The sequence below is a fragment of the Homo sapiens genome, chromosome X (genome assembly GCF_000001405.40).
Source record: "Homo sapiens chromosome X, GRCh38.p14 Primary Assembly".
NCBI lineage: Eukaryota > Metazoa > Chordata > Mammalia > Primates > Hominidae > Homo > Homo sapiens.
This window is the reverse complement of record NC_000023.11, coordinates 40,897,591-40,924,007: the sequence shown is the minus strand read 5'-3', so window position 1 is coordinate 40,924,007 and position 26,417 is coordinate 40,897,591. Positions and strand designations below refer to the sequence as shown.

Sequence of the window (26,417 nt, the reverse complement as noted above, 5' to 3'; positions counted from 1 at the left end):
AAACTCTCAGATCCTGGCATATAGATGGAAAAAAATTTCACCATTAGTACTTATATAATTGGTTATCACAAACCTAAATGGAAGATCTTTCATTAACCTTCATGGGATTTCATCTTGTTGAATTCAGTCCAGCTCTGTCCCAGCCATCAAGAAAGTTTTCAAACTTGATTTTGTTGTCTATAATAGGATGTGTTGGTCCGCTTGTGTTGCTATAAAGGAATACCTGAGACAGGGTAACTTGAAAAGAAAAGAGGTTTATTTGGCTCATGGTTCTGCAGGCTATACACGAAGCACAGTGCAAGCATCTGCTTCTGGTGAGGGCCTCAGGAAGCTTACAATCATGGCAGAAGGCAAAGGCCATGTGATCCAGTGTGTCACATGGCAAGAGAGAGAGAGAAAGGGACAAGGTCCCAGGCTCTTTAAACAACCAGATCTCATGTGAACTAATAGAGTGAGAACTCACTCATTATTGTGGGAACAGCACCAAGACATTCATGAGGGATCCACTCCCATGCCCCAAACACCCCCAACCAGGCCCACCTCCAACATTGGAGGTCACATTTCAACATGAGATTTGGAGGGAACAAAACATCCAAACCATACCAAAAGACTATCTTCATATTGTGAGTCAGCTGCAGATATGTCAGAGTCTATCATTCTGTGCCTTCATCTCACTCACTGCTATTGAAAATGTTGAGCAGCACAAGGTTCATGGAGGTGTTCTGCTGTGATCTTTAAGAAAGAATTTACCATTCAACTGCCAGGAGTTAAGTTAGCTAATAGCCTTTAGCTGTTAATGGCTTCAGGCTTAGCCTCAGCTTTTAAAAAAATTGTAGTAAAAAAAAAAACCCACATAGTCCAAGATCTACTCTCTTAACAACTTTTAAGTGTGCAATACAGTATTGTTAACTATAAGCACAATGATATACAGTAGATCTCTAGGAATTTTTAATCTTGCATGAGTGAAACTTTATACTTACTGAATGGCAACTCTCCCACTTCCCACTACCCCCAGTCCTTGGCAGCTACCATTCTACTCTCTATTTCAATGAGTCTGACTTCTTTAGATACTTCATATAGGTGGAATCATGCAGTATTTGTCCTTATTGTGAATGCGTTATTCCATTTAGCATAATGTCCTCCAGGTTCATCCATGTTGTGGCATGTGACAGGATTTCCTTCCTTTTAAGGAATGAATAATATTCCATCAAGGGTATATATACTGTACCACATTTTCTTTATCCATTCATGTGTTGATGGACATTCAGGTTATTTCTGCAGAGCTTATAGCTTGTAGTGAACACCAAGAATGAGTTCTCAGACAATTCCAGCTGAGCAGGGCGGGGGATCACTCTTCTGAGAAAGAGTGTCACCCCGGAATCCGTCCGCCAAGTATTTATTGAAAGGGCTTGTTAAACTACGAACATCCACTAGATGGCCTTTTGAGGTTGGGTCATTAGACACCTATGGCCTTGTAAAAGCACTCAAACCGCATTCTCAGGAGGCTGTTTACAGCATTCCTTATCACACATTCCACTCCTCGTCCTGTTTTCAGGGTCAAGGAGTTACATTCCCATGCACAAATAACATACACACAGTGCCTCAGTATTTTTCCATGCCCCAACCTCAAATGCCATGTTAATATTTTGGACAAACCTCTTATCAGATACATGGTTTGAAAATATTTTCTCCCATTCCATAGGTTGCCTTTTCACTCTGTTGATTATTTCCTTTTTTGTGCAGAAGCTTTTTAGCCCTAACTTGTCTTATCAGCCCTGACATAGCCCTACCTTGTCTATTTTTGGTTTTTCTGCCTGTGCTTTTGGTGTCATATCCAAGAAATCATTGCTAAGATCAATGTCATTAAACTTTTAGATTTATGTTAGATTTATGCCTAGATTTTTTGGAGCTACGTAAATTGCATTTAAAAATTTCGTTTCCAAATTGTTATTATACAGAAACTTGATTGCCAAATTATTAGTGTACAGAAATATTGTGTGTTGACCTTATATCCTGCAACCTTGCTGAACTTCCTTATTAATTCTAGAATTTTGTGTGTGTGGATTTCTTTGACTTTTCTTTATAGACGATTATCTTACCTGTGAATAAGGACAGTTTTATTTCTTCCTTTTCAATATGTACACATTTTATTTATTTTTCTTGCCTTATTGCACTGGCTAGGACTTCCAGTATGAAATCTAATAGGAGTAGTGACAGTGTATTTCCTTGCCTTCTTCCCAATCTTAGAAGCAAAGTATTCCATCTTTCATTATTAACAATGATGTTTGCTGTAGATTTTTAAATAGATGCCTTTCATTAGGTTGAGGAAGTTTCTTTCTATTCTTAGTTTGCTGAGAGTTTTTTGTTTTTTCATGAATGGATGTTAACTTTTGACAAATGCTGTTTCTGCATCATTTGATGTGATCATATGGTTCTTCTTCATTAGTTTGTTGATATGATGGATTGCATTGATTTTTGCATATTGAATGAGACTTTCATTCATAGGATAAACCCCACTTGGTTACAGGATATTATTCTCTTTATATATTGCTGGTTTGATTTACTAATGTTTGTATCTATGTTCAAAAGGGATCTTAATATATCATTTTCTTTTCTTGTAATGTCTATATCTGGTGTTGGCATCATGGTAATACTGCCTTCATAAAATAAGTTGGGAAGTATTCTCCTCTACTTTCTGGAAGAGATTTGCAGAATTAGCATTATTTATTCTTTAAATGTTTGGTAGAATTTTGGACTATCTGGATCTGGAGCTTTCTTTTCTAAAAGATATTTAGTTACAAATTTAGTTTCTTTAATAGTTATTGTACTAATAGTAATTTTTAAAAAGCTAACATTCAGTGAAAGCTTGTTATATGACTGGTACAGAACCTAGAACTGAAATTTATATCCTTTAATCCTCTTGGCAACATTTTGGGGTAAGTATTATTATCCCATTACTGAGAACTAAAGTGGTTTCATAACTTGTCTAAGATTACATAGCTAATGAATAGCAGAGCCTGGATTCAAACACAGACCTGTCTTACTCCAGAGAATATATTCTTAATTATCATCTTTGTGTTCTCCTCTCTGTAAACAACCAGATACAGCAAGGAGAATGAGAAACAGGAATGGAGGCTGGGTGCAGTAGCTCATGCCTGTAATTCCAGCACTTTGAGAGGCCGAGGTGGGAGGATCACCTGAAGTCAGGAGTTTGAGACCAGCCTGGCCAACATGGCGAAATACAAAAATTACCATGGCGTGGTGGCACGTGCCTGTCGTCCCAGCTACTTGGGAGGCTGAGGCATGAGAATCACTTGAAGCCGGGAGGCAGAGGTGGCAGTGAGCCAAGAAGCCAAGATCATACCTCTGCACTCCAGCCTGGGCAACAGAGTGAGACCCTGTCTCAAAAAAAAAAAAAAAAAAAAGAAAGAAAGAAACAGGAACAGAAACCACACCTTCAGTGAGAGTAGGAGAGTAAGAGGCAGCTATCACCTGAAATTACAATGAGTATGGAAGAGCTGCTTAGTGCAGTGAGGAAAAATGGGGGTCAGGAAAGAGTCCCTGGCTCTTCTGATGCCAGGCACATGTAGTAGGGTAGAGACCCCTAGGGTATGTGGCACACCATTGTGGACAAAATCACTAACACCTGACTTGCCCCAGCATGATACAGGTACACAGGCTGGCTGCAGAAGTGGTAGCTGAAGTGGGGCCAGGCCAGGAATTGATGATAAGCCATCTTTGCATAAGCAGTCTGTTGCTGTGGTAGGGTGGAAAGGACATTGAGATTGATGACCAGACTGGCACCTGTCTACCATTATTGGTTGGGGAGAAGAAAAGACTAAACCAATAACTCTCACACACTATCTTGTACCTTGAGAGGCTCCAAGGAATTCTGAACTAACAAAATGTTTTGTTGTTCAGAACTCAGCACTGTCCCTTCTGCTTTCCACAGAGCTGGTCTAGCAAAATCAATCATCATTGAAATATTAGTAATAATAAAAAGAAGGCAATATAGGAACTATACAAAAATATCCTCAAGAATAAAGGGGCATGGCCAAGACAGGACAGAAAAGCACACAGCAGAAATAGTTTGCCATGGAAAAAAAATAAAAATCATGACCAAAAATATGCAAAAAAAAGTAATAAAAAGAAAATCTGTGAATCAGTCATGGGCTTAGGCAGAGATACAATACCTCAAGAAAGAAATAAAATAAAGGAGATTAAAAATGAGCTGACAGCACTCAAGAAAGAAATAGAGAAAACAAAAATAAAAGAGAAATGAAGGCCCTAATAGGAGCAGCAAAAAGGAAAACAGATACTGTTCAAAAAACAGCTATGGGCATGGAAGGAAGGCTTGGAAAAAGTGAGCAAAATGAATGAAAATATAATAAATAGTTTTAAAAGTTTAAAAGGATTGTAAAGAAAGTGACATATATAGAGAACAAAGGTTATCCACCATATGCATGATTGGTGTTTCTGAATAATAGAATAGATTAAATGGAACCACAACATCAACAAAAATGTTCAAATATATCATTCAAGAGTGCTTCTAGTAATAAGACTTGAATTCATAGCTTGAAAGAACAAACTTATCCCAGGTAAAATTGCCACAGAACAAGTAAGTTCAGTTCATATACTGATGAAGTTACTGGACTTTGGAGATTAGGAAAGAATCCTATGGGAATCCTTGCAAATAAACCACATCATTTGTGACTGGGAAAAAATTGTCTGGCTTCCAACCTCACCATAATAGCATCCAACATCAGAAGATGGAGGCGCAATGCCTACCAAATCTTCAGGGAAAGAGTATGTGTGCCAAGCCAGACCGTCATCCAAGTATAATGTCACAAACAGATGCCTTTATACTTCCCGAGAGCCTTTCTTCTTGGAAATACAATTGTCTGATAAATTTCTACAAACGGATGTAATAGTAAAAATGATGACAGCGATCAATGGGCCCATTAAAAGCTAAAGTAACTGCAGAAAGAGAATATCATATAAACGTTATATACTCTAATTGTATAAATAAAAATTATCATATATTTCTGGAGATTCTAGAAGGGGGAAAACATGGAGGTGGTGCAAGTATGCCAATGTTCTCATCTTTTGAGAGTTATTTAAAGCCTATAGCTCAATAATAGAGACAGAAGTATTTTTCTTTGAAGGTAAAAATTCACTTTAACATGTTATGTGTCAGGAGTAAAGAGTATTTATTTATTTATGTTTAACATTTTATTTTTAAATAATTTTAGATTTACCGAAGAGATGCCAAGATAGTACAGATCATTCCTGTATACCCTTCACCCAGGTTCTTCTAATGTTAACATCTCACTTAACCATGGTACATTTTTCAAAACAAGAAATTAACATTGATATAATACTTGTAACTAAACTACAGACTTTATTTGGGTTTTCCCCTTTTTTCTTTCCAGATCTGACCCAGGATACCACATAGGATTTAGTCATCATCTGCTTAGTCTCCTTCAATCTGTGATAGTTTCTTGGTCTTTAAGGAATCTTTATTTTTAAAACCTTTTTATTATGGAAAAATTTAAACATAGGCAACAGTAGAAATGAGATTAATATTATGAGCTCCATGTACTCATCACTCAGCTTCAACAATTAACATTTTGCCAGTCTTGTTTCATTCATCCACCACCTCAATATTTTGTTGTTGAAGTATTTTAAAACAAAACCCAGGCCATATCATTTCATCCATAAATGTTTCAGTAAACATTTCTACCTAATAAAGACATAAGATAATATAAATACCATGCCACTATTATACCTTAAAAATGAAAAATAATTTTTTTTTTTTTTTAGATGAAGTCTTGCTCTGTTGCCCAGGCTGGAGTGCAGTGGCACAATCTCAGCTCACTGCAACCTCTGCATCCCGGGTTCAAGCGATTCTTCTGCCTCAGCCTCCCGAGTAGCTGGGTCTACAGGCGCACGCCACCATGCATTTTTGTATTTTTAGTAGAGACGAGATTTCACCGTATTGGCCAGGCTTGTCTTGAACTCCTGACCTCGTGATCTGCCCGCCTTGGCCTCCCAAAGTGCTGGGATTACAGGCGTGAGCCACCACACCCGGCCAAAAAATAATTCTTTAATATAATCTCATCTTATGCCATATCCAAAGTTCCCCAATTCTCACAAATATATCATTTTCACTTAGTTTGTTCGCATCAGGATCAGAGCAAGTTTCATATACTGTATTTGATTATTTTAGCTCTTAAGTTTATTTTGTTATATAACCCAGACCCCCACCCGGTACCACTGATTTATTGAAAAAACTAGATCATTTGTCCTGTAGAATTTCTTACATTTTGGATTTGGTCCCTTGCTTCTGCAGGGTGTCATTTAACTCATTCTCTATTCTCTGTGTTTCCCGAGAATGGATAGTTAGACATAGAGGCTTTATTAGGTTAAGCGTTTTTTTGTAGGCAAAAATATTGAATAGGCAACACTGTGTACTTCACATCCCATCACATCAAGGGATACACCATGTGTGTTGTCTCACTTGTAGGGATGCTAAAATTGATTAGTGGGATCAGGTGGTATCAGCCTGATTCATCTATTATAAAGTTCTTGTTAAGCTTTCACCTAATGGTTTTAGCTGTCATTGATGATCATCACTGATAGTCTTTATTAGAACCTGATAAATGGCGATATTCTTATATCATTTATTCCACCTGTTAGCTGGAATGCTTCTAAAAGAAGAATGCTCTTTATCAACTATTTAGTTACCTAGAAAAAGGCAGAATGTTTGATTCTTGCTCTTTTTAAAAAACCAGTTTGCAGAACGATAAATTGGTGCTCTAGCAAAACTCCAGTGATGACCAATGAGCTTTCTGGATTTTGTTTCATTTTTAAAGGATCATTAGGAACTCCTGAAGTTAAAAGAATTAATGTTTATCGGCCGGCTGTGGTGGCTCACACCTGGAATCCCAGCACTTTGGGAGGCCGAGGCAGGCGGATCACAAGGTCAGGAGATGGAGACCATCCTGGCTAACACCGTGAAACCCCGTCTCTACTAAAAATACAAAAAATTAGCCGGGCGTGGTGGCAGGCGCCTGTAGTCCCAGCTACTCGGGAGGCTGAGGCAGGAGAATGGCGTGAACCCGGGAGGCAGAGCTTGCAGTGAGCTGAGATGGCTCTACTGCACTCCAGCCTGGGCGACAGAGCGAGACTCCATCTCAAAAAAAAAAAAAAGATTTTTTTAGAGTGTTTTGTCTTTATGGTATCTTCCACTTGGTTTGTGTAGTCAAAACACTGTATTTTAAAGCAATTTGAAATAATTTTGTTTTTCTCTATGAGGTCATGTATGGTGCACTGTAATGTATGAGTGCCTCTAATTGACTGAACCCAAATCCCATCCCAAACCCTGGCTGCAAAAGGGCTTTTTATCTTTTCAGACTCTACATACTGAAATTCATGTTGAACAAATCAGTCTGCTGAGTCTATCCCTATCAGGTTATAGGTAAGGGATTCTAGGTTGTTTGCCAAAAGGCTAATGGGGTAGGGGATCAGGAAATGTGATGACTGCTTAGAATACCTGCTTTAGGGAGGTGAGGGGAAATGGACTCAAGGACACAGATTGGTTTCTGATTAGTGCTCAGGACCTATCTGAGGAGAGAAGGCTTGCATTCCTAATGGCATTGTCTGCATGACTGCATCTGGTAGCCAAGCTAAGAGGAGGGGAGAGTGGCCTTTGCAATGGTGGGCGTAGTAAAAGAACAGGGGACATAGGATGCTGAGGTGCTGGTAATGGAGGAATTGATGTGATATAGTATGAGCTCTAGACTTCAAAAGAAAGGACTTTAGATGGAAAAATAATGATGAACACTCCAATGAGCCAGGCATTGTCCTAAGCACTTTATATCTGTTAACTCACTTAACCCTTACAACAATGTTGAGGCAGGTATTATCATTACCTCCATTTTACAGATAAGGAAACTGAGATGCTGAGAAGTTAATTTGTCCAAGGTACACAGCTTGTGGCAGAGCCAGAGTTTAAATCCAGACAGTCTGGCTCCAGAGACTGAAGCAATGAGACATAATTTTGTACTTAAAACCTGGCAAAAAAACAAACAAACAAACAAACAAACAAATGCTATAATACTTATAGTGGGAAGAGATATAGATTAAAGAGTATCCTTGTACACTGCATATGGAAATTGAAGTATTATAGCCATTTTAGAAATCTGGCCAGGTGTGGTGGCTCATGCCTGTAATCCCAGCACTTTGGGAGGCCGAGGCAGATAGATCACTTGAGGTCAGGAGTTCGAGACCAGCCTGACCAATATGGTGAAACCCCATCTCTACTAAAAATACCAGGTGCAGCGTCTGTAATCCCAGCTACTTGGGAGGCTGAGGCAGGAGAATCGCTTGAACCTGGGAGGCGGAGGTTGCAGTGAGCCAAGATCATGCCATTGCACTCCAGCCTGGGTGTCGCAGCAGGACTCCGTCTCCAAAAAAAAAAAAAATAATAAAAAAAATAAAAAAGAAAATAATCTGGTAATATCTGTTAATATTAAAATATACTGGGCTGGCTGGGCGCAGTGGCTCATGCCTGTAATCCCGCACTTTGGGAGGCCAAGGAGGGTGGATCACTTGAGGTCAGGAGTTTGAGACGAGCCTGGCCAACATGATGAAACCCTGTCTCTACTAAAAATACAAAAATTAGTTGGGCATGGTGGCAGGCGCCTGTAATCCCAGCTACCTGGGTGGCTGAGGCAGGAGAATCACTTGAACCCTGGAGGCGGAGGTTGCAGTGAGCTGAGATCACACCACTGCACTCCAGCCTGGGTGACAGAGCAAGACTCCATCTCAAAAATAAATAAAAATAAATAAATAAATAAATAAAATATCCTGGGCCAAGCACAGTGGCTCATGCTTGTAATCTCAACACTTTGGGAGGCTGAGGTGGGAGGATTGCTTGAGCCCAGGAGTTCAAGACCAGCCTGGGAAATATGAAAAGACACCATCTCTACTAGATAGATAGATAGGTAGATAGATAGATAGATAGATAGATAGATAGATAGATAGATAGATAGATAGATAGACAGACAGACAGACAGACAGACAGACAGACAGACAGACAGATAGATAGATAGATGAATATACGAATAAATAAAATATTCTGCTTACGCAGCAAACTCACTCCTGGGAATCTATTCCATAGGAATGAAAGTGCTAGTAAGGACATATATAAAAGGACGTTTTATTGCAGTATTGTTTGTAGTTGCAAAAAACTGGATGCCAAGTGAAAGGCTGTCAATAGGAGAATGGTTAAATAAATGATGGTATATCCACAATGTGAATATTACACAGCCATTAGAAAGGATGAATTAGGATAATACTAGGTGACATGAGGGAGTTCCATGAGGTATTGGGAATTGAAAAAGCAAACACCAAGATGCAAAATAGTTGTTAATACATGAAGAAGAAATAATAAATCTGAATGTCATCACTTTGCAACCTCAAATGAATTAATGAATCTATGGATCAATCATCGTGACTGCTAACCTCACAAAAAATTGTCAACCAGACTTTTGGTGCATCCTGAAGGAAGAACACACCATCATCTATGAAGTAATCACAAAAATTCGACCTGAATCTGATACCGCCTCCAGAGCCAAATATAAACTACAGGAAATACAGAAGAAAGAGCATGTTATACTACCAGGAAAGAGCATGTTCCAATGTTTTGGCTTCCCTGGGCCACATTGGAAGAAGAAGAATTGTCTTGGGCCATACATAAAATACACTAACACTAACGATAGCTGATGAGCTAAAAAAAAAAATTGCCAAAAAATCTTATAATGTTTTAAGAAAGTTTACGAATTTGTGTTGGTCCACATTCAAAGCCGTCCTGGGTTGCATGCAGCCCGTGGGGTGCGGGTTGGACCAGCTTGTCCTAGACTATGGGAATACAATCAACAAAATCTAGACCATGGGAAATGCTACAGGACAAATGTTTTGTTTTCTTCAACAATAAATTGCAAGAAAGGCCGGGCGCAGTGGCTCACGCCTGTAATCCCAGCACTTTGGGAGGCCGAGGCGGACGGATCACGAGGTCAGGAGATCAAGACCATCCTGGCTAACACGGTGAAACCCCGTCTCTACTAAAAAAAAAAAAACACAAAAAAATTAGCCGGGCATGGTGGCAGGCGCCTGTAGTCCCAGCTACTCGGGAGGCTGAGGCAGGAGAATGGCGTGAACCCGGGAGGCGGAGCTTGCAGTGAGCCGAGATCACGCCACTGCACTCCACTCTGGGCGACAGAGCGAGACTCCGTCTCAAAAATAAATAAATAAATAAATAAATAAATAAAAATTGCAAGAAAAAGATAGAGGGGGACCCTGTGGATTTAAAAGAGATTCAAAAGATATATGAACCAATTGCAAGGATTTGCCCTTATTTGGGTTCTGATTTAAGCAAACACATTGTTTTTTAAAAAGCCATACGTAATATTTATTGGACAATTGGAAATTTAACATTGATTAGACATTTGATAATATTAAGGAATTATTTTTATTTTATCATTATTATTTTTTACTTTTTTGCTGTGCTAATGGTGTTATGGTTTAAAAAGAATCCTTATCTTTTAGAGATGCATACGAATTATTGACAGATGAAATGATGTGAAGCCCAGCATTTGCTGCAAAATAATAAAGAGGTAAGAGTGAGTGAGAATATAGATAAAATGAGATGATTGGCTCTCAAATAATCATTGTTGAAGCTGGATGGCGGGTATTTTGGGTTTATTATACTACTCTGCTTTTAAAATATGTTTGAATTTTTTTCATGATAAAGTTTTTCTAAAATATTATGGGAGGGGGGCTAAATATATTTCATTTGCCCCTCCAGATCCACTCTCCACCCCTCCCCACCATGTTCTGTGCCTGGGAGGCTGACCTCTATGGATAGAATGGTTCAATGGGCTCCTGTGCCCTCTGTTCGGTTTGGAAAATGGGATACCTACAGGAGATGGAAGGGAGGAAAGAGAGGGAGATTGGGGTTTTTAATTTCCCAGGTTTTCTCACTGATGAATAATAGTGAGCTGTCTGCCTCCAGCAACCAGCCAGGGGTCTCAGCTCACACCAGAGCTTTCTCCACCCATCCCTCTCTATTACTGGTCCCTCCCCTTGCCCCGGGGTACTGCCCTACCCCTAGTGGTTTCCCTATACCCTGCCCACACTTTCCTAAATAGTCCCTTATTACATTCTTCTCAAATTACCCAATTTGGGTGTGCCATCTGTTGCTTACTGGGCGCCTGTCTGATACCAAAGGCAATCAGCAGCGAAAGGCAGGACTAGGGGAGGAAGCCCAGGGGAGGAGTGTAGGAGGGGTTGAAGTGCGAGGCATGGCAACAGAGGACAGAAGTGATAGCCAAAATACTTAACAACTGGTAGAGGACAGGCACCAGCCCATCAGAATGGACTCCATGTGTCAACAACTAGTACTAATACTAGCGCTGATACCTTCCAGGTGGATCTTAGCTCTGCTTAAGGGGATCGAGACCTGCAGGACAGGACTGGTTGGGTTATTTGAACTCAAATGTTCCCAGATGGTTGGGGCCTGGTGGTTAGGAAGACTCACAGATTCTCACCTCCCAGGGGAAACTCAGCTGCCAGCAGTGGCTCTGGGGGTGCAGCTGGAGAGCCTTGGTGGCTTCTGGGAAAGCAGCCCTTCAGTTCTCCCTAGGGAGCTGAAGTGGGAAAGCTAAGTAGTGGCTCCATTAGAGGACGGTGCTCAGGCTGCAAAATCCAAATGGAGGTGGGCGGTGAGGGGAGAAAGGGCCTCTTTCTTTTGCTGACATCCTGGTCTCACACAGCAAACAAACCAAAACAAAACAAAACAAAAACTGAGAAGGTAATGCTACAAAGATCATGTGGCTCCCTAACTCTATTGGGACAAAACCTCTTTTAAAATGTTTTAATTTTAAAATACATGCATTTAACATTTTATTTAGCTGATAGTTCAAAATGATCCATACATAAAGAGTATAACCATATATACAGTGAAACATCTCCCTCTAAGGCCTGCCCCATCTGCCCAGTCCCATCTTCCCCAAATAGCCAGTGACTGTAACCTTTCAGAGTCTCACTCTGGTTGCCCAGACTGAAATGCAGTGGCATGATCTTGGCTCATTGTAGCCTCAAATTCCTTGGCTCAGGTGATTCTCCCACTTCAACCTTCTGAGTAGCTGGGACTGCAAGTGCGCACCACCACACCTGGCTAATTTTTTTTTTGTATTTTTAGTAGAGACTGGATTTCACCATATTGCCCAGGCTGGTCTTGAACCCCTGGACTCAAGCAATCCACCAGCCTCGGCCTCCCAAAGTACTGGGATTATAGGCATGAGCCACCACACCCAGCCCAGAGATTTTTTTAATGCTGGTATGAACAAATATAAATATACATCCCCAATCCCCTCCTTTTAATATGATGTATGCTCTATTCCGCATCATGCTTTTTTCCCTTAAAAATGTATTGGAGATCTTTCCAAATTGATACATACAGAGTTTCCTTGTTCTTTATTTTGTTCTAGCTATGTGGTATTCCATTGTGCAGTAATGTATTTAATCATCCTTATTGACTGCTACTTAGGTTGTTTCCAACCTTTTAAAATTACTAACAATATACATGTATTGAATGAATGAATAGGTAGGTGAATGTTCAAATGGAAAACGTTGTGCATAAATAATTTCCCATGTCTGCTAATATACCTGTGGAGTAAATTCCTAGAAGTGAACTTACTGGGTCAAAGATCAAGATCATATGCTCCTGTAATTTTGATAGATACTGCAAAATTATCCCATCATATCCACAGATCCTACCCATACTCAAAAGGAGGGAATGATACAGAGTGTGTATGCTAGGGGGCAGGAATTTGGGGGTTGATATAGTTTGTATATTTGTCCCCTCCACATCTCATGTTGAAATGTGACCCCCAGGCCAGGCACAGTGGCTCACGCCTGTAATCCCAGCACTTTTGGAGGCCAAGGCAGGAGGATCACCTGAGTTTTGGAGTTTGAGACCAGCCTGACCAACATGGCAAAACCCTATCTCTACCAAAAATACAAAAATTAGCCATGTGTGGTGGTGGGCACCTGTAATCCCAGCTACTCAGGAGGCTGAGGCAGGAGAATTGCTTGAACCCAGGAGGCAGAGGTTGCAGTGAGTGCTGAGATCATGCTACTGCACTCCAGCCTAGGTGACAGAGTGAGACTCTGTCTCAAAAAAAAAAAAAAAAAAGTGACCCCCCCCCCCCCAGTGTTGGAGGTGGGGCCTAGTGGGAGGTGTTTGGGTCATGGGGACAGGATCCCTCATGAATGGCTTGATGCCCTCTGCACAGTAATGAGTGAATTCTCAAGCTATAAGTTCACGTGAGAGCTGGTTGTTTAGAGAGTCTGGCACCTCTTCCCCTTTCTCTTGCTCTGTCTCTTGCTTTTTGATACACCTGATGCCTCTTCCCCTTCTGCCATGAGCGGAAACTTCCTGAGGCCTCACCAGATGCAGATGCTGGCACCATGCTTCTTATACAGCCTACAGAACTGTGAGCCAAAATAAATCTCTTTTCTTTGTAAATTATCCAGCCTCAGGTATTCCTTTATAACAACACAAAACAGACTAATACAGGAGAATTTTGCCTACCACACCTTCATTTGTTCCTGAGCCCAGCTTTGCTCAGCCGTTGGCTTCAGCCCGGAATCTAGATGACCTGGCTATTGTCCCTAGTTCAGGGCCCCACAAAAGCCATTCCCCATCCTTGTGTACACCAGCACCTCCCCTATTTGGTTCTTGGCTAGACTCTGCCTCAGTTTCCTTGTTGCTGGTTGCATATCCATACTTTTTTTTTTTTTGAGACGGAGTCCTGCTTTGTGCTTCAGGCTGGAATGCAGTGGCGTGATCTTGGCTCACTGCACTGCAACCTCTGCCTCCCAAGTAGCTGGAATCACAGGCGTGTGCCACCATGCCTAGCTAATTTTTATATTTTTAGTAGAGATGTGGTTTCGCCGTGTTGGTCAGGCTAGTCTCGAACTCCTGGCCTCAAGAGATCAGCCCGCCTCGGCCTCCCAAAGTGCTGGGATTACAGGTGTGAGCCACTGCGCCTGGCTGCATATCCATACTCTTCTAAAGACCAAATCATTTTACCAGGTGGCTCTCAGCTGCCTACCCCAGGCACTGGGTGTTCCCGTCTCAGCCATCCCATGAAGAGTGGTCAGCATTGCTAGGGTAGGATTCAGAACCTGTAGACAACAATAAACCCATGAGCGCCAACCACACCAGTCACTTCCTGGCCCCTCCTCCCTCTCTTCTGCCTCTGAATACATAATCTTGAAGGGGGCCCACAATGATCCATTAATGCCACTCTGTTTATGATCATGTCTTTAAAATGTATTTCCCCTGGATTTTTTTGTCCTCACACAGTCCTTTTAAGAATCTGAATGACTACATTTTAGTACAATTCCTTCTTATCTTAAGGTATATTTCCTAAACTTCTTATACCAACAACAGATACTTGTTTCAAGAGTCTCTCTTTAAGGGTCTCTCCTGTCCATCCCCTTCCCTCCAGCCCCCACTTTTCCACCAACCTTTCCACCAGACCACCACAACAGGAGTTACATAGCATGCCCAGAAAAATCTCCTGCCTTAATGAAATTTGTCTTTTTAGATTTGCAACCCTATTTGTAATGCTAGAGGTATTTTCCCAGGAGAGGTATTTTATGAGTCATTGGGAGACCATTATCCCATAACCACATCTGAGACCATGGATGTTTTCTCACTAAGAAAATTTAGATATTTTCAAAATTTACCTAGATAGGAACAGATTATTTTCAGCTGCAAATTCCTTTCTGGTGCAGATCAAAATTGTGATAATTTTTTTAAATATGTAAGTCACTTATAGTTAAATTATACAAACACACCAATAGTGCACCAAATAAGATTTTGAAGTCCTTTATGTTTGAGGCTAAGAGTCAAACTCTTGTCTTGTCTTTATCAATGATGACTGCAAATTTTACAGAGGGTAATAGGGGAAGAATCTTCCTTAAATCAATCATAGGTAAATACTAACATCTCTCTATATTAGGTGCCAGGATTGACTTTGAAGAAAGTGGCAAAGGGTGTATCTCTCTCCCTCTTCTAGTGACTTGTCACATGCCTGAAGTCACACCATTAGATGCTTTTCCTCTTAGTCTTACAGGTTTTTTGCTCTTTAGGAGCCCCTCTACTATTCTTTTAAATTTTTTTTTTGAGACAGAGTCTCACTCTGTCACCCAGGCTGGAGTGCAGTGGTGCAATCTTGGCTCACTGCAACCTCCGCCTCCCGAGTTCAAGAGAGTCTCCTGCCTCAGTCTCCCGAATAGCTGGGATTACAGGTGTGTGCCACCACGCCTGGCTAATATTTGTGTTTTCAGTAGACACGAGGTTTCGCCATGTTGGCCAGACTGATCTCAAACTCCTGACCTCGGGTGATCCGCCTGCCTCGGCCTCCCAAAGTGCTGGGATTACAGGCGTGAGCTGCCACACCAGGCCCCCTCTACTATATTTTTTTTTTTTGGCAGTTTTTATGGTTTTCTTTAAACACAAAACATGCACACGAGCCGCCTATTCATTTTCTTTGCTGCGCAGTATGGCATTGAGGTTGTTGACTCTGATGGCCAGCTGGGCTGCTCTTTCCACGATGGCCTTGCAGTTCTTGGAGGAAACATTGTGAGCGATCTTAGCACAGTAAGATTTGTTGCACATCATCAGCACTTCCAGCTCATTGATGTCATGGACCAGGAATTTCCGGAAACCATTGGGCAGCATGTGCTTTGTTTTTTTGTTGCTCCCATAACCAACGATGGGCTTCAAGATCTGGCCCTTGAACCTTCTACAAACCCTATTGTCAATACCTCTGGGTTTCTGCCAGTTAGGCTTGATTTTGACATACCAGTCTGACTGGTACAGGATGAACTTCTTGGTTCTCTTTTTGACAATCTTGAGTTTCACAAGGGGTCTGAGGGCAGCTGTGATGCCAAGGAGGAGATGGCTGCAACCTCTGTAGGCAGCGCTGAGGAAGAGAGAATATCCTCTACTATTTTATTTTATTGTTTTATTTTTTGAGACAGAGTCTTGCTCCATTGCCCAGGCTGCAGTGCAGTGGCATGATCATGGCTCACTACAGCCTCGACCTCCTAGGCTCAAATGATCCTCCTGGGATTACGTGTGTGAGCCACCATGCCAGGCCCATTTCTTTTTAAGTTAAGCATTTTATCACGCCTGTAATCCCAGCACTTTGGGAGGCTAAGGCAGGCTGATCACCTGAGATCAGGAGCTTGAGACCAGTCTGGCCAACATGGTGAAACCCCGTCTCTACTGAAAATACAAAAAAAAAAAAATTGGCCAGGCATGGTGGCCAAACACCTGTAATCTCAGCTACTCGGGAGGCTGAGGCAGGAGAAATGCTTGAACCCAGGAGACAGAGGTTGCAGTGAGCTGAGATTGCACCACTGCACTCCAGCCTGGGCAACAAGAGCAAAACTCTGTCTCTAAATAAATAAATCAAATAATAAATTAATTAAGCATTTTATTTTGAGATAATTATAGATTCACATACAGTTGTAAGAAAAAGTATAGAGACATTTCCATATATCCTTTACCCAGTTTCCCCAATGGTAATATCTTGCAAAACTTTAGTCCAATAACACAAGCAGGATACTGACACTATTACATCGTCAATACCGGTACAGAACATTTCCATCATCACAAGGATTCCCTCATGTTGCCCTTTTATGGCTATACTCCTCTCCCATCTCACCTTGATCCCTGGGAACCACTAATCTGTTATCCACTTCTATGATTTTGTCAAGAAAGTTACAGAAATGGAATCATACAGTATATATAGCCTTTTCTTTCTTTCATTTTCTTTTTCTTTTCTTTTCTTTTTTTTTTTTAGAAACAGGGTCTCATTCTGTCACCCGGGCTGGAGTGCAGGAGCTTTGACCTCCTGGGCTCAAGCAATCCTCCTGTCATTGCCTCCTGGGTATCTGGACTACAGTGCGCACCAGCATACCTGATTATTTTTTAAATTTTTTGTAGAGATAGGGTCTCACTATGTTGCCCAGACTGGTCTTGAACTCCTTGAATTCCTGGCGTTAAGCGATTTTCCCACCTCAGCCTCCCAAAGTGCTAGCATTACAGGTGTGAGCCACTGTGCCCAGTCAGTTTTTTTTGTTTGTTTGTTCGTTTTGTTTTTAACTATTGAGTTTTCAGAGTTCTTTATAGATTCCATATACCAGTCCTTTGTTGGATAATTGGTTTACAAGTATTCTCTCCCAGTTTGTAGCTCGTCTTTTCATCTTCTTAGCAGAATCTTTCCTAGAGAAAAATTTTTAAATTTTGATGAGGTCCAACTTACCAATTTTTCACTTATGGCTTGTGCTTTCGATGTTAAGTCTAAGATCCCTTTGCCTCTGCCTAAACCCCGACAATTTTCACCTATATTATTTTCTAAAGGTTTTCTAATTTCATGTATTACATTTAAGTTGGTGATCCACTTAGTTAATTGTTGTTCATAAAGGGTAAGATTTAGGTCAAGGTTCATTTTTTTGCCTATGGATGTCCAATTGCTCCAACATCATTTGTTGATAAATCTTTATTTTCTCCATTTAGCTGTTGTGCACCTTTGTCAAAGATCATTTCACCAAACTTGTGTGGGTCTATTTATGGGTTCTGTGTCCTATTCTATTGATCTATGTGTCTTTCCCTCCACCAATAACACACAGTCCTAATTATTGTAGCTATATGATAAGTCTTGAAATTGGGTATAGTAATTCCTCCCACTTTATTCTTCTTTAAATTTTGTTTTTATTGAGGCCGGGGATGGTGGCTCACGCCTGTAATCCCAGCACTTTGGGAGGCTGAGGCGGGTGGATCACCTGAGGTCAGGAGTTCGAGACCAGCCTGACCAACATGGTGGAACCCCGTCTTTACTAAATACAAAAAGTTAGCCAGAGGTGGTGGCACATGCCTGTAGTCCCAGCTTCTTGGGAGGCTGAGGTAGGAGAATTGCTTGAACCCGGGAGGCGGAGGTTGCAGTGAGCTGAGATCGTGCCATTGCACTCCAGCCTGAGCAACAAGAGCGAAACTCCATTTCAAAAAAAAAAAAAAAAAATTGTTTTCACTAGTCTAGTTCCTTACTTTTCCATATAAATTTTAGAATAATCTTGTGTATATCTGTAAAAATTCTTGCTGGGAATTTGATAGTATTTGCATTAAACCTGTATATCAATTGATGTATTTACTATGTTGAATCTTCCAATCCGTGAACATAGTATATTTCTCCAGATATTTAAATCTTTTATTTCTTTCATCAACATTTTTGTAGTTTTCACCATATAAGTCCTATATATGTTTTTTTCATTTTTATCGTGTTTAAATATACATAAAATGTATCATTTTAACCATTTTTTTTTTTTTGAGACAAGATCTTGCTCTGTCACCCAGGCTGGAGTGCAGTGGCGTGATCACAGCTCAATACAACCTCCACCTCCTGGGTTCAAGCTATCCTCCCACCTCAGCTTACCTAGTAGCTGGGACCACAGGCACACACCACCATGCCTGATTAATTTTTGTATTTTTTTTGTAGAGACAGGGTTTTGCCATGTTGCCCAGGCTGGTCTCAAACTCCTGGACTCAAGTGATCTACTTGCCTCAGCCTCCCAAAGTGTTGGGATTACAGGCGTGAGCCACTGCGCCTGGCCTTAACCATTTTTAAGTGTATAGTTCGGTGGCATTAAATATATTCATAATGTTGTGCAACCATCATTACTTTCCATCTCCATAATTCTTTTCATCATGTAAAACTGAAATTCTATACCTATTAAACATAACTCCCCACTTCCCAATTCCCCCAGCCCCTGGCAGCTACCATTCTACTGTCTTTTTCTATGATTTTGACTATTCTAAGTACCTCATATAAGTGGAATCATACAGTATTTGTCTTTTTATGACTGGCTTATTTCACTTAGCATAATGTCTTCAAGGTTTATCCATGTTGTAGCATGTGCCAGAATTTCCTTCCTTTTTAAGGCTGTATAATATTCCATTGTAATGGACAGACCACATTTTGCTTACCCATCTATCTGTTGATGGACATTTGGATTGCTTCTACATTTCAGCATTTGTGAATAATGCTGCTATAAACATGGGTATATAAATATCTCTTCAGGACCCTGCTTTCAGTTCTTTGGGGTATATACCCAGAAATGGAATTGTTGAATTGTATGACAATCCTATTTGTAATTTTTAAAGGAACTGCCATGCTGTTTTCCACAGTGACTGTATCATTTTATATTCCCACCAACAGTGTATAAGGGTTCCAATTTCTCCACATCCTTACCAACACCTTTTACTTTCTGTTTGTTTGTTTGTTTGTTTGCTTGCTTTTGTTTTTTTGAGACAGAGTCTCCCTCTGTTGCCCAGGCTGGAGTTCAGTGGTGTAATCTCAGCTCACTGCTACCTCCATCTCCCAGGTTCAAGTGATTCTCCTGCCTCTGTCTGCTGTGTAGCTGGGACCATAGGTGCAAGCCACCACAGCCGGCTAATTTTTGTATTTTTAGTAGAAACGGGGTTTTGCCAGGCTGGTCTTGAACTCCTGACCTCAGGCGATCCACCTGCTTTGGCCTCCAAAAGTTCTGGGATTACAGGCATGAGCCACCGCACCCAGCCCTACTTTCTGTTTTTTTAAATAGTAGCCACCCTAGTAGGTGTGAGGTGTTATATCATTGTAATTTTGATTTGCATTTCCCAAATGATTAATGATATTGAGCATCTTTTCATGTGCTTATTGGCCATCTATATATCTTCTTTGGAGAATGTTATGTTTTGTTCTGAATTATTTTAAATGATACTTTATTTTCAATTGTGAAAATGTTCACATGTTCATTGCCAGTATATAAAAATACAATTGATTTTTAATGTTATTCTTGAACACTGTCTTTGCTGAAATCACTTATCAGTTCTAGTAGGTTTTTGTTTTGTTTTGTTTTGTTTTGTTTGTAAATCCCTTAGGATTTTCTACATATACTACCATGCCATCAACAAATAGGGACAGTTTGAAAGAATTCCTTCCAATCTGTATGCCTTATATTCCTTTTTCTTGCCTTATTGTGCTGGCTAGAACTTCCAGTACTATGTTGAATATGAGTAGTGAGAGTGGCCATTTTTGGCTTCTTCCCTATCCTAAGGGGAAAGCATTCAGTCTTTTGTTGTTTTTGTTGTTTTTTAGATGGAGTCTCGCTCTGTTGCCCAGGCTGAAGTGCAGTGGTGCAATCTCGGCTCACTGCAACCTTCACCTCCCGGGTTCAAGTGATTCTTCTGCCTCAGCCTCCTGAGTAGCTGGGATTACAGGCATGTGCCACCATGCCCGGCTAATTTTTGTATTTTTAATAGAGACGGGGTTTCACCATATTGGCCAGGCTGGTCTTGAACTCCTGACCTCATGATCCGCCCACCTCAGCCTCCCAAAGTGCTGGGATTACAGGCGTGAGCCACCACGCCCGGCCAGCATTCGGTCTTTTATCATTAAGTATTATATTAACTGTAGGGTTTTTGTAGATGCTCTCTATCAAGTTGAAAAAGTTCCCCTCTATTCCTAATTTGCGTAGAGTTTTCTGATTATCATAAGTGGGTATTGAATTTTGTCAAATGCTTTTTCTTTATCAATTGATGTGGTCACATGAGTTTTCTTCTTTAGCTTAGTAATATGATGAATTCTGTTAAGTAGTTTTAGCAAATTGAACCAGCCTTGCACCCCAGGAATAAAGTCTACTTTATCATGTTGTATAATTCTTTTTATATATTGTTGAATTTTATTTGCTAATATTTAGTTAAGAACTTTTGCATGTATATTCATGAGGAAAATTGGTCTGTAATATCTTTTTTTTTGTACTATGTTTGTCTAGTTTTCTTACCAGGATAATAGCTTCATAAAATGAATTGAGAAGTGTTCCATCCTCTTCTATTTTCTAAAGCAGATTGTTTAGAATTAGTTTAATTCTTTTAAATTTGGTAGAATTTTCCAGTGGAATCATCTGATATTTCTTTTTTGGGAGAAGTTAAATTACAAATTCAATTTCCTTAATATATAGAGATTCAAACTATATATTTCATATTGGGTGAGTTGTTTTAGTTTGTTATTTTTGATTAATTGGTCTATTTCCTCTAAGTTGTCAAATTTATGTGTAGAGTTGTTCATAGTATTCCCTTATTTTACTTTTGATGTCTGCAGGGTCTATAGTGATAGCCCCTATTTCATTTCTGATATAGTGATAGCCCCTATTTCATTTCTGATATTGGTAATTTTATCTTTTTCTTTCTTTGTCAATCTTGATAGAGATTTGTCAATTTTATTGATGATTTCAAAGAGCAAGCTCTGTGTTTCATTGATTTTCTCTATTGTTTTGCTGTTTTCAATTTCATTGATTTCTGCTCTTATCTTTATTACGCATCTCCTTTTGCTTGGTTTGGGTTTATTTTGCTTTTCTTTTTCTATATTTTTTTTCTCATAGCCACTACCAGGACCCATTTTTCTAAATTCTTGAGGTATATTCTGCTCTTGTTGAGTAGAGTATTCTATACACGTTGATTAGACCCTGTTGGTTGATGATATTGTTGAGCTTTTCTATATCCTTGCTGATTTTCTGGCTAGTTGTACTATCAGTTGTTGAGAGAGGGATGTTGACGTCTGTAATTGTGAATTTGCATATTTCTCCTTTCAGTTCTATCAGATCTTGATTCACATACTTTGCTGCTCTGTTACTTAGTGCAAACACATTTTAGGAGTGCTATGTCCTTTTGGTGTACTGACCCATTTATCATTATATAATGTCCTTTTCTGTCTGTGGTAACTTTCTTTTCTTTGCAGTCTACTTTATCTGATATAATAGAGCTTTTCCTATTTCGTCGTGATTAATGCTTGTATTATACATCTTTTTCCATCCTTTTACTTTCAATCTGCCTTTATCATTATATTGTAAATAAGCTTCTTATAGACAGTATATAGCTGGGTCATGCTTTTTGATCCACTCTGCCAAAGTTGTATATTTAGACAATCTACATTAAATATAATTATATTTGCTACTTTATTTCTTGTTTTCTGTTTGTTATTTCTCCTTTTCATTTTCTATTTTCTTTCTCCTGCCTTCCATATTGATTTATTTATAGTGTTCTTTAGTGTATCTCTTTGTATTGTTTTCTTATTGATTTCTCTAGGAATTACATTATACATACATATCTATCACGGTCTACTTGGCTCATCACTTTGCCAGTTTGAGTGAAGCATAGAAATCTAACCTCTATGTCTATTTATTCTCCCCCATTTATATAATTGTCTTGAAATTTCTTCCAGAGCCATTTAAAACTATATCAGTGTTATATTTTTTGCTTAAACTGTCAAATATGATTTATAAAACCCAGAAGGAGAAGGAAAGTCTATTGTATTTACCCAGATCTTTTGCTTGTCATGTTCTCTCTTCCTTCTCATGTTCCAAGGTTACTTCTTTTATCATTTCCTTTTTGTTTAATGAACTTCCTTTAGCCATTATTTAGAGTAGATCTGCTGGTAACAAATTATCTTAGTTTCCCTATATTTGAGAATGTCTTTATTTCCCCTTCATTCCTGAAGGATATTTTCACTGGATATAGAAATGCAGGTTGAGGCTGGGCGCAGTGGCTCACATCTGTAATCCCAGCACTTTGGGAGGCCAAGGTGGGCGAATCACTTGAGGTCAGGAGTTTGAGACCAGCCTGGCCAACATGGTGAAACCTCGTCTCTACTAAAAATACAAAAATTATCCGGGTGTGGTGGCAGGCACCTGCAGTCCCAGCTACTCGGGAGGCTGAGGCAGGAAAATCATTTGAACCCGGGAGGCGGAGGTTGCAGTAAGCCGAGATTGCACCACTGCACTCCAGCCTGGGTGGCAGAGCAAGATTCCATCTCAAAAAAAAAAAAAAGAAAAGAAAAGAAATGCAGGTTGACAATTCTTTTCTTTTAGTACTTGAAAGATATTGTGCCACTTCCTTCTACTCTGTCTCCTAATGTGAAATCCTGTTATTCGCTTGTTTTTCTCTTGCCATAAGATGTCATTTCTCTTTTGATGCCTTCATAATTTTTTCTTTGTCTTTAGTTTACAGAAGTTTGATTATATGTGTCTCAGTTTGAATTTCTTTGGGTTTATTCTGTTTAGAGTTCACTCAGCCTCTTGAATCTATAGGTTTATGTCTTTTGCCAAATTGGGGTGTTTTTAGCCATTATTTCTTTGAATACTTTCTTAGCCCTACCCTCTTTATCCTCTCCTTTTGGGTCTTCAGTAATAACAATGCTAGATCTTTTGTTAAAGTCCCACATGTTCCTGAGGCGCTGTTTATTTATTTATTTATTCTATATTTTATTCGTGTCAAGTGTGCTTGTAATTGCTCATTGCATTATTTTTATGATGGCTGCTTTAAAATTTGTGTCAGAAAATTTTATCTCATGTTTCATCTCAGTGTTGGCATCTAAAGATTATCTTTGTTCATTCAGTTTGAGATTTTCCTTGTTTCTAGTGTAATGAGTGATTTTTGATTGAAATTTGGACACTTTGGGTATTATGTTATGACTCTGTGTCTTATTTAAACCTGATGTTTTAGCTGGCTTTTTGGACACTACATTGGCAAGGGAAGGGGGTGGGGTGTCCCCTCATTACTGCCAGGTCAGCAGAGAAAGTCTATTCAGCCTCTGTTGACATCTCGGGGGGTGTTCTTTATTGTTGCTGGGTGGGGTGGGAGTTCAGGCTCCTCACTAGGCCTCCACTGACACCTCAGGGAGAGGATGGCATCAATACTGCTGAGCAATGGTGAAAGTCCTGACTTTCTACTATGCTTCTTCTGATACTGCCCAAGGAGGAAGGATGCGGGCTGGAAGTACAGGTTGCCTATGTGGTTTCCTCATCACTACCCAGCAGGGATAAATGTACTGGCTCCATACTTGGCCTTCTCTGAAGATATCCCAGTGGGTGGGTTAGGGCACATTGCTATAGCCTGGCGAGTGGAATTCTAGGCTCCCCACTTGGCCTCTGCTGGTATGAATGAGGATGGGGCTACATTTTTTTTTTTTCCTGTGGTGTTTAGTCAGAGCAGAGCAGTTTCTGTCTAAAAGTTTTCTCTTTTCTTGTGTTGTTCCTTTCTTGGCCCTTTGGCCAGATAGAGCAGTTTTTGTTAGGTCTTTTTTAGTTTGCACTTATTGATATTTCCAAGTGCCATCTTCTTCAAAGTCTCCTCCTTTCAAAGAAAGTGCCTCCTTTCAAAGTCTTCTTATGTTTATTTCATATATAATGTCCAGAGTTTTTCATTGTACTTAGTAGGAGGAGTAAGGAAAAGTATGCCTGCTTCTTCTTGGAAGCCAGAATTTCCAAGTTTTAAAGACTTGTTATTAAATCATACCATACATATGGAAAAGGGCACATATCTTAAGCATACAGGACAATGAAGCTTTACCAACAATACACCCATGTAACTAGAACGCAGATCAAGAAACCGAACACAACCAATACCTTTCAGAAGCTTCCTTATGTTCCCTCTGATCACAAGCCCCCCACCCCTGCAAAGTTAACCACTATCCTAATTCCTGACAGTATAGATTAGTGCTCTCTATCTTTGTGCTTTATATAATGGGCCCCTTTAAAATATGTAAATACCCTTGGGAGATTTAATGTCCTAAGATGTCATTGACCAACACCTTACAATGAATTAATTTATCATATAATTTTATTTACATTTGATAACAATACATTTATTAATAACATTATAAAACACATTAAAGTTATAATAACCTTTCTCATGCTTCATATCATTTGATTCTTACAAATGCCTATGAAATAGATTGTATTATTAACCTCATTTAAGGTGAGAAAATTTAGGCTCAAAGAAGTTAAACGATTTGTCTAAGGTCACCCAAGTAACAGGCAGAAAGATTTGGCAGCCCTGGAAGAAAGGGACCTTCTTTGTCCACCTGTCCATGCATCAATTTCAGAGAAGAATCTGATTGGCTCTGGTTTAGTCTTCTGACCACTAAATGTCAAGGGCGGGAAAGGACACTGATTGACCTAGCCATCATAGTCATGTGGAGTCAGGGAGGGGATCTTCAAGTGACCCAGAGGAGGGATTGAGAAAGCAAGCTAGAAAGACAAAACTTCACTTACCACAGCCCCTAGTGGGAACAAAAACAATTATTCCTATTTCTTGATTTTTATGGACATGTTAAAATAATCAAAACTCCTGTGTCTTTTTTTTTTTTTTGCCTCATTCTCTGTGTCCACATATGACTCATTTTAAGAGTTTAGAATCACATTTTGTATTACCTGGAATGGATTGGAATGGAAGAGACTCTTTATCCTCTTAGTATATAGATGAGGGAAAGGAGGATGATAAGACAGTATTTTGCCCAATTTCATATACATACTTGTTTTATGTTTTTTCCTCCACATTCATGTATCATAAGAATAACTTCATGAAATTAACAATTTAATGAAAAAAATTATTCTCTAACCCCAATGCCCCAACATATTTTCATGTGTCTTCCAGTCTTTGTCAAGTTATCTATTTATCTATAATTATATACTTACATATAAATACCATCAAGCCTGGTTAATTTCTTATGTTTTTGTAGGGACAGGGTCTCGCCATGTTGAGCAGGCTGGTCTCGAATTCCTGGCCTCAAGTGATCCTCCCACCTCGGCCAAAGTGCTGGGATTACAGTCATGAGCCACTGCGCCCAGCCACTCACTGATTGTTTTGATCCTAGCGGAAAAGCATTCAAAGCAAAACCTCTCAGGGACATCAACATTTGAGAAGGAGACCCTTTTAAGACAGAAAAGTGTTCCTGAACTGGAGAGAGGAAATCTGCTCTTAGAAGGCCCTCTACTAAAAGACAGACTTTGCCATAGTGCTGGTGTTGCAAAGCCAGTAAGACAGTCCCCACCCCCAAAGAGCTCAAGTTTCTGGTTTCATTTCATGCACCTTTAGTAACCTCCAGCTAAATGCAGGCTGCCCCCCCTCTGCCTAGAATAATAAGGGGTTCTTGGACTCTCCATCAATAGGTCCTGTCAGACAAGCCATCTGTATCATTCCAGGTCCTGGCAGGAAACAGATGGCACCCTCAGATTGAGTAAATTGAGAAGAGTTTAATAAAGAGACTATTTACAAAGGAATATCAGGGTATAGGGAAACCACAGGCCAGAAGGAGCAGAAGGAGAGAGCAATCACTGGAAACTGGAGAGAGAAAATCCTGTGAAGAGGGCCTCTTGACAGGAGCTGTGGCTTTTGGTCCAGGGACACAGCCAGCCAGCTCTCAAGAAGGTATTTGGGGGAAATAAATACTCTGACC

General features: G+C 40.0%; 1 pseudogene, besides 1 other annotated feature; it reads right to left on the bottom strand.

The window, feature by feature from the left end:
- Positions 14,430 to 15,629: an enhancer, noted in NCBI's record as "CDK7 strongly-dependent group 2 enhancer chrX:40767632-40768831 (GRCh37/hg19 assembly coordinates)". NCBI's record gives its function as "activates an origin of replication core promoter dependent on BRD2, BRD4, P300/CBP, MED14 and CDK7 cofactors, with strong dependence on CDK7, by STARR-seq in HCT116 cells {active_cell/tissue: HCT116}" and the evidence as "EXISTENCE:reporter gene assay evidence [ECO:0000049][PMID:35650434]".
- RPL32P36 (ribosomal protein L32 pseudogene 36) lies at positions 15,568 to 16,079 on the bottom strand (annotated as a pseudogene).